The sequence below is a fragment of the Homo sapiens genome, chromosome 7 (assembly GCF_000001405.40).
Source record: "Homo sapiens chromosome 7, GRCh38.p14 Primary Assembly".
Classification (NCBI taxonomy): domain Eukaryota; kingdom Metazoa; phylum Chordata; class Mammalia; order Primates; family Hominidae; genus Homo; species Homo sapiens.
In genome coordinates, this window is record NC_000007.14 from 47,609,933 (window position 1) to 47,618,699 (window position 8,767).

General features: G+C 48.5%; 3 annotated features.

The window, feature by feature from the left end:
- Positions 936–1,177: a silencer, noted in NCBI's record as "fragment chr7:47650466-47650707 (GRCh37/hg19 assembly coordinates)". NCBI's record gives its function as "represses an EF-1alpha promoter that drives an FKBP-Casp9 reporter gene in an ReSE screen in HepG2 liver carcinoma cells {active_cell/tissue: HepG2}" and the evidence as "EXISTENCE:reporter gene assay evidence [ECO:0000049][PMID:32094911]".
- Positions 4,288–4,834: an enhancer, noted in NCBI's record as "H3K4me1 hESC enhancer chr7:47653818-47654364 (GRCh37/hg19 assembly coordinates)". NCBI's record gives its function as "activates a minimal SCP1, AML or CMV promoter by ChIP-STARR-seq in naive H9 embryonic stem cells {active_cell/tissue: H9 hESC(naive)}" and the evidence as "EXISTENCE:reporter gene assay evidence [ECO:0000049][PMID:30033119]".
- Positions 4,835–5,379: an enhancer, noted in NCBI's record as "H3K4me1 hESC enhancer chr7:47654365-47654909 (GRCh37/hg19 assembly coordinates)". NCBI's record gives its function as "activates a minimal SCP1, AML or CMV promoter by ChIP-STARR-seq in naive H9 embryonic stem cells {active_cell/tissue: H9 hESC(naive)}" and the evidence as "EXISTENCE:reporter gene assay evidence [ECO:0000049][PMID:30033119]".

An 8,767-nucleotide genomic window follows, 5' to 3' on the forward strand; every position in this document is an offset into this window, starting at 1 on the left:
GTTGCAGTTAGCTGAGATTGCGCCACTGCACTCCAGCCTGGCAACAAGGCAAGACTCTGTCTCAAAAAAAAAAAAGGCCCTGGAGTGGACAGTGGCAGAACTGGGGTATGATGCTGGAGATTGACGCTGAGCGACAAGTCACCACATCCCCCACCTACCTTCCCTCCACACATTTCCTAACTTGCCCCACGTCAAAGAGTTATCAGTAACTATACCACAGTTGTTTTGATGATTGCAAAGAGCAAGAATGGGAATAAATCCCTTCTTGATGTCTCAGCCCTCATGTGGATTTGGCGGAGGCCAAGAGCTGGCTTCATCAGCTTCTGTTTATGAGCAGAGCTTCCAAGGCCTGTCTGTGCAGAGAGAGCTTGAATACATCCCAGGAAAGACCACGAGTGAGGCGCTCATTCAGCAGAAGGGTTTTACAGAATGGCTTGGAATATGTGAAGGCCCACGGAGCTGGAGCGGAGGGAGCCAGGCATCAGTTGCCCTGTCTGAACCTTCAAGAAGGCTGAGGGCTCTGCCTTCCTTGTTCATCTAACTCTGCAAGTTTTGGGGACAGGGAAAAAGTGTTACTATTTCCACAGCTGATCCAGTTCTTACAAAGCCTCGAGCTTGGAAAGAAAGAGAGGGAGAAAACCTTCAGCCCTATCACTGATTTCAGAGTGCAGAGCAGGCTGCCAGGGGCTCTCCAGGCAAAGGCAGCGGCAGTGGCCTCCCTATTGCCCTGCTGGGAGCAGGCTCATCCCTCACCATCCCTCCTCTTCTCATTTCTACCCCCAGGAGCTCAGTTAGTTGCTGCTGGCTCGTTTCTATTTACACAACTGGAAAAGTAATGTGTGGTCTCTCCCAAACAGTTGGGCGATCTGTGTAATTATGCAACAGTAGAAAACAGCAGCTCTGTTTGGAAAGCAGGGTTATGATCTCCTAGCTGGGGATTGTTTATGGAGATGAATCTCATGGCAGGCTCAATTTCCTTAAGCAGCTCCTCTCCCTGCCAGGTCAGGTCCTTCCCTGGTCACAGACTGCACTGTCTTCTGGAGTCTTGGCTGTCCTGGACATAAGCCATTTCTAGTGAGTGGTATGTACCACCTTCCATTCTGCAGTTCTAAGGAGGAATCTGGAAGCATTCACAGCTAATCGTCTCTATGGGTGCCCCCACTACCGTGCCCCTCTGCCCCGGGAACACACAGCTATTGCCATTTGCCTCACACCAGCCCTCTTCCAGTTCCAAAACGTTCAAAGTGATTGCTCGGCAAGAGAAAGGTTGCCTATCCTGCACGAGGCGCTGTGTTTCTCCAGCTCTATAATATACTGGTGGTTTACAATGTCACCATCAGGAACAATTCCCGGCAGAGGGTAATCGGCCAAAAGGACAAGTCAAATCAACACAGGCAAACAGCCAAGCCCAGGTGGCAGGGTCGGTCTGCAGAGGAGGCTGAGCATTTATATGGAGGCCTGAAGGTTTGTCCTTGAAAAGGCAAATTGTCTAGATATCAGGTTAGCATCTGGTGGGTGTGTTGAAGAATTACAAGCTGGTAGTTAAAGGGCAATTGCTTTTCCTTGAGACAAAAATGGCCTAAGTGGTTAGATGGAAAGGGCAAGGGAGATATTGGAATGGTGAGCCCATGAAAGACACAGACTTGGGTCCTGGAGACGGGCCCCACTCCTGTGAGCCAGGGCACTGGCCTGGGGGATCCCAAACCGGCAAGTCAGCCGCCGACAGCACTGTCTGCTCCTCAGCCCATCCTCAGGGCTCCATAGAAGCCTCTCTGTCACCGTGTCTCAGAGACTTTTTTTTTTTTTTTTTTAAGATGGAGTCTCACTCTGTCGCCCAGGCTGGAGTGCAGGGGCATGATCTCGGCTCACTGCAACCTCCGCCTCTTGGGTTCAAGCAATTCTCCAGCCTCAGCCTCCTGAATAGCGGGGATTACAGGCCTGCGCCACCATGCCCGGCTAATTTTTGTATTTTTAGTAAAGATGGGGTTTCACCATGTTGGCCAGGCTGGTCTCAAACTCCTGACCTCGTGATCCGCCCGCCTCAGCCTCCCAAAGTGCTGGGATTACAGGCGTGAGCCACTGCACCTAGCAAGGATTGTTTTTAATAATAATGGAGCCCAGGCGAGGTGGCTCACACCTGTAACCCCAGCACTTTGGGAGGAAAAGGCGGGTGGATCACCAGGTCAGGAGATCAAGACCATCCTGGCCAACATGGCGAAACCCCATCTCTACTAAAAATACAAAAATTACCCAGGCGTAGTGGTGTGCGCCTGTAGTCCCAGCTACTCAGGAGGCTGAGGCAGGAGAATCGCTTGAACCCGGGAGGCAGATGGTGCAGTGAGCCGAGATTGTGCCACTGCACTCCAGCCTGGCAAAGAGCGAGACTCCATCTCAAAATAATAATAATAATAATAATAATAATAATAATAAGAAGAAGAAGAAGAAGAAGAAGAAGAAGAAGAAGAAGGAGAAGAATGGGAAATGGGGCAAATGCAGAAATTACAGCAACTGCTCATATTCCTAGCACACAGAGATTAAAGAACAGGGAATATCTAGGTTTACTTCCTGTGACATTGGGTTTAATGTATATTTGATGCTTGAATCTTGCTCCTTCTTCTTTTTTTTTTTTTTTTGATACGGAGTCTCTCTCTGTTGCCCAGGCTGGAGTGCAGTGGCGCGATCTTGGCTCACTGCAAGCTCCGCCTCCTGGGTTCACGCCATTCTCCTGCCTCAACCTCCCGAGTAGCTGGGACTACAGGCGCCCACCACCATGCCCAGCTAATTTTTTTGTATTTTTAGAAGAGACAGGGTTTCACTGTGTTAGCCAGGATGGTCTCGATCTCCTGACCTCGTGACCTGCCCGCTTCAGCCTCCGAAAGTGCTGGGATTACAGGCATGAGCCACTGCGCCCGGCCACATTGCAGATTTTTTATTTCTAATTATTGTGGATAATACTGTGGTGAATAACTTGCTATCAAATGCATTTCTCACACACTCCCATTTTTTGGATTATATTTTAATATACTTTTTTTCTCACATGGAAGAGTACTAGGACAAACATTATGAAAACTCTGGAAAAACACTTTAAAGAGGTGGATTTTTTTTTTTTTTTCCTTAGGACAGCAGAGGTCGGACCTTTCCTCTTCCCCGCACCAACACCAGCTCCATGTGCATTTATTGTTGGATTTTAACACCCGTGTCCTCCCTCCCTCTCCCCAGTGTTCTTTCACAGCTTTGCCCACTGGCAAAGATGGATATCTTGTTGTATAAAATGGAAAAAAGCAGAAATTGTGAAGATTAGACCTACCTTCCTTCCTTCCTTCCTTCCTTCTTTTCCTTCCTCCCTTTCTCCCTCTCCCTCCTTCCCTCTTTCTTTCTTTTTGCAAAGATTAGGATTCTCTCTGGGTTTTCTAGAAAGCAAGTATCACTGAGCAATGGGCTCACACTAGTTACGCATAGAAGCCAATATTATAGCATCAGCTTTTGTGAAAAGAAAAAGCTTTATTGCAAGGTTGACTGGCAAGGAGACAGGAGGCAGTGCTGAAATCTGTCTCCCCAGGCTGGGATCTGGGGGCAGGTTTTATAGGCAGAGAACAACTATGAGGGAGATAGGAAACTGCAACAGGCGTGACTGGACTGGGTCATGCAAAGAGGTGGTGCTAGGTTCTTGGCTTTTAAGTTTGTACTGCAACAAAACAGGGCATCCTCGCTTCTTAACTTGGACCTCGTTCCTCGATGGACTGCATGTGGTTCTGCACGTGATTGTCTTTTTCATTCTGGTTGGCTCTGGCATCACCAATCAGGCATGCTTGGTTTATCTGGGCATGCTCAAGTTATGTGACTTACAACCCTCGTGTCCACTGCAAATGAAAAACAGCTCATCTTTTCGTTTCATTTTGTTACTGACAAAATGGAACCAGGCTGAACTGTTTCTGCAGTGAAGGATACATGCCCCACTCAGTCCCCGGCAGTGCTAGGCAAGGCGATAGAGGCAGCAGAGGGAGTGAGTACTGGCACTAACCTTCCACAGAAGGACAGAATTTTTTTTTTTTTTTTTGAGATGGAGTCTCACTGTGTCTGTCGCCAGGCTGGAGTACAGTGGCAAAATCTCGGCTCACTGCATCCTCTGCCTCCTGGGTTCAAGCAATTCTCCTGCCTCAGCCTCCCAAGTAGCTGGGATTACAGGTGCACACTACCACTCCCAGCTAATTTTTGTATTTTTAGTAGAGATGGGGTTTCACCATGTTGGCAGGATGGTCTTGATCTCTTGACCTCATGATCCACCTGCCTCGGCCTCCCAAAGTGCTGGGATTACAGGCATGAGCCACCGCACCTGGCCAGGACAGAATTTTAACTGGTAGCTTTTCCGAAGATCTGGCTCAGTAAAGACTAGTAGGAGTAACTGCTCCTAGTAGTGACTAGTTGGGGAAAATCTTGGTGGATATCTGCTTGTGTGCAACCCCTAACACAAAAATGTACCTGAGCCTGGTGTTAGCTGTTGCAGATGCTTGGGACAGCGGGAAAACAGAGCAATTTGGAGCCATCTGTAAAATGTCCATCTTCAGGAGTACACACAGTTGCACCAAAGAGCTGGGCCCCGAGCTTGTGGAACTGAAGGGCCTAGGAAAGAGCCCTGGCCTTTTCAGCAGACAAAGCAGAGGACAGAGGATATGCTGAGTAATCGAATGGCTGGCCCCAAGCAGCAGCAGTGCTTTCCAGGCAGGTGGGCTGGCCGTTGTGGGCAGGACAGAGCCCTCACACCTGGATGGCTCGTGCAGCAGGATGCCTGTTGTTCCTGGCACAGGCAGGTGTAGAACCTCTCCTTCCACAATGCCATGCTGTATGCCACCGCTCAGCATAAAACCAGCTTTCTCCTGTGCTGCCAAACCCCTGCCAGTCCTCCTCTGGCCAAGATCTCTGCCTTTGAGAAGCTCCGGGCCCTCAGTGGAGCTGAAGGCCCTCTTTGTGCTGCCCCAGACTTGGCCCGTGGCTCTATGACTGCACTCAAGGACCCTAGATGTCCATGCTGACCCCACCAGCCCAACCTCACCCCTAGGCCATGGGCAACCAGAAAGGCTGGCCCATTATCTCTATTCCCATCTTGCCAACACTGGTCTGATTATCAAACGAGGGAACACAGGAGAAAGGACACTTCGGCTGACCAGTGCAGTGCCCGTGCAGTAGAAAGGCATACTTCCTGATAGCACCAGCCTGGCCAGAGAGAAATCGAGTCTCCCCACTTCCTATTCGGGAACTCATGAATTCACCCTCTTACCTTAAATGACTTATAAGTGACTGAAATCAATTTAATGTTTAAAATAATTTCAATAGGCCAGGCACAGTGGCTCATGCCTGTAATCCCAGCACTTTGGGAGGCCGAGGTGGGTGGATCATGAGGTCAGGAGATCGAGACCATCCTGGCTAACATGGTGAAACCTCGTCTCTACTAAAAATACAAAAAATTGGCCGGGCCTGATGGCGGGCGGCTGTAGTCCCAGCTACTCGGGAGGCTGAGGTAGGAGAATGGCATGTACCCGGGAGGCAGAGCTTGCAGTGAGCTGAGATCGCGCCACTGCATTCTAGCCTGGGCAACAGAGTAAGACTCTGTCTAAAAATATATATATATATATAAAATAAAATAAAATAAAATAAACATAGCTTCACTTAATATCTGAATGTGTTATGCTATCTTAAAGGGTAAGCCTAGTAACAACAAGCAGTCAAGACACTGGTGACAACAAACTCTGTGGGAGCCCAGCTCCTGCCACTCTCTGCTTAGGGAAGAGTTCATGCTCACTCTAACTCTGTTTCCTTGTCTGTGAGCTTAGGACTGTTCTAGTTAACTATTGTTGAACAACAAAACCAACCCAAAACTTCATGGCTGTAAACAATAATCGTTTATTACTTTTTATTTATTCTTTTTTTTGAATTAGGGTCTCCCTTTGTCACCCAGGCTGGAGTGCAGTGGTGTGATCTCGCCTTCTGCAATCTCAAACTCCTGGGCTCAAGTGATCTTTTCACCTCAGCCTTCCTAGTAGCTGGGACTAAAGCACATGGTATCATGCCTGACTAATTTTTAAAAAATTGTTTGTGGAGATGGGGTCTCATGTTGCCCGGGATGGTCTAGAACTCCTGGGCTAAGGTGATCCACCTGCCTCAGCCTCCCAAAGTGCTGGGATTACAGGCATGAGCCACTGTGCCCGGCTCACTTATTACTATTATGTCTCCTAGTCCTAGGGGCTAATGGGCTCAGGTCAGCAGCGCTGACTCAGGTCTCTGGTCCCCATGGGTGTGCTCAGACTGGGGCTGGAGCTGGGTTGTGTTGAAGGCTCTTCCCTCCCTGTGTGGTACCTGTGTTGCAGGACTCAAACAGCTGGGGATCTTTAGCCCTCTCTCTCTCCCTTCTCTCCATGTGGCCCCTCCAGCATGGTGGCTTCAGGGTGACTGGGCTTGAGGGTAGCACGACAGGCCCAGAGTTCTACAGGCACAACCCTGAGAGGGACTAAGCTGAGTGGAAGCCATATTCTAGGCCTTGGAAGGAGCGTGCCTGAGCCAGATAGTACCAGCCTCCAGGAACTGATCATTAAATGTTCAAAAATGTTGGGGTGCCTGTTAATCACAGGCACCATTAAGATTTAACAAAAACTTACAGTTACATTGTATTAAAATCAAAGGCAATATATTCTTTGTCACTTCCAAATGATTTTTTACCATATATTACTGTTATTTATGCTTTTGGAGTTATTTACATCGATCTTATCTATAGAGTGGAAATACCATTAATGGTGTGTTAATGCACATGTCTTTCCAGCTTCATGTTCAGTGACATCATCTTAGTAGCCTGAAACCCACCATGGGCATATTTACACCCCAGCAAGTGGCAGTTGTACAAATCAAAGCCTTAATATTTTTTTCCAGTTGTAAAATTTTGTTTAAAGAAATCTTGGCCCAGCGCAGTGGCTCACGCCTGTAATTCCAGCATCATGGGAGGCTGAGGAGGGTGGATCACGAGGTCAGGAGATGGAGACCATCCTGGTTAACATGGTGAAACCCCATCTCTACTAAAAATGAAGATAATTAGCCAGGCGTGGTGGCAAGTGCCTGTAGTCCCAGCTACTCGGGAGGCTGAGGCAGGAGAATCGCTAGAACCCTTGAGGCAGAGGTTGCAGTGAGCCGAGATCGCACCACTGCACTCCAGCCTGGATGGCAGAACGAGACTCCATCTCAAAAAAAAAAAAAGAAAAAAGAATATTTAGCCAAATTAACTTTAAAAGAGTTTAATTGAGCAAAGAATGATTCGCAAATCAGGCAGCCTCCAGAGTCAGAGACTCCAGTGTAGCTACATGGTAGAAGATTTATGGACATATAAAGGAAAGTGACATACAGAAAACAGAAGTGAGGCACAGAAACAGCTGGATTGGTGACAGCTCGGTGTTTGCCTTATTTGAACATGGTTTGCATAGTTGACAACCTTTTTTTTAGAAATGGAGTCTCACTCCATCACCCAGGCTGGAGTGCAATGGAGCAATCTTGGCTCACTGCAACCTCTGCCTCTCAGCTTCAAGCAATTCTCCTGCCTCGGCCTCCCCAGTAGCTAGGATTACAGGCGCCCGCCACCCACCCAGCTAATTTTTTGTGTTTTCAGTAGAGACGGGGTTTTGCCATGTTGGTCAGGCTGGTCTTGAACTCCTGACCTCAAGTGATGCACCCGCCTCGGCCTCCCAAAGTGCTGGGATTACAGGTGTGAGCCACTGCGCCTGGCCAATAGGCAACCTTCAATTGGCCAAAACTCAGTGACAGCACAAGAGTAGGCTACAGTCTGTATATAACTCCATTTAGGCTCCAGTTCACATAATGTACAGATAAACCTTTAGGCCAAACTTAAAATATGTAAGTAGCAGCTTTAGGCTAAACTTGATGGAACAATATCTACTGGTGCCTGTTGGCCATTTCCTACTAGTCAGAGTGGTCATGACTGCTTTCTAGATGCAAGGGAGGTCCTCTGTGGGAGGACAGCGCTGTGTGAGAGCACGTGAATGGGATACATACATCACGGCAGCCCTCTTTGGGGAGTCACAACCTGCCACGGGGATAGTGGAAGAATTGATGTAATTTATGGAAAGTGTTTTACCTAGTATGGAGGATATGAATTCTTCAATAAATGGCAGCTAGTTATTATTACATATCTGCTGGGCCTAATATTTGTCCCCTCCCCAGTTCATATGCTGAAACCTAATTGTAAAGTCATAGTAAAAGGAAGCAGGGCCTTTGGAAGGTATAAGGTTAGAAGGGCTCTGTTCGACCGGGCGCGGTGGCTCATGCCTGTAATCCCAGCACTTTGGGAGTCCGAGGCGGGCAGATCACGACGTCAGGAGATTGAGACCATCCTGGGTAACACAGTGAAACCCCGTCTCTACTAAAAATACAAATAAATTGGCTGGGCGTGGTGGCAGGCACCTGTAGTCCCAGCTACTGGAGAGGCTGAGGTAGGAGAATGGCATGAACCCGGGAGGCGGAGCTTGCGGTGAGCTGAGATCGCGCCACTGCACTCCAGCCTGGGCGACAGAGCGAGACTCCGTCTCAAAAAAAAAAAAAAAGAAAAGAAAAAGAAGGGCTCTGTTCCTGTGCTCTCGTGAATGGGATTAGTGCCCTTAAAAAAGAGGCTCCAGAGAGCCACCTGCCCGTTCTGTCATCCAAGGTCACAACAAGGCGGCTCCATCTTTGAAGCAGAGAATGGGCCCTCATCAGATGCTGAATCTGCTGGTGG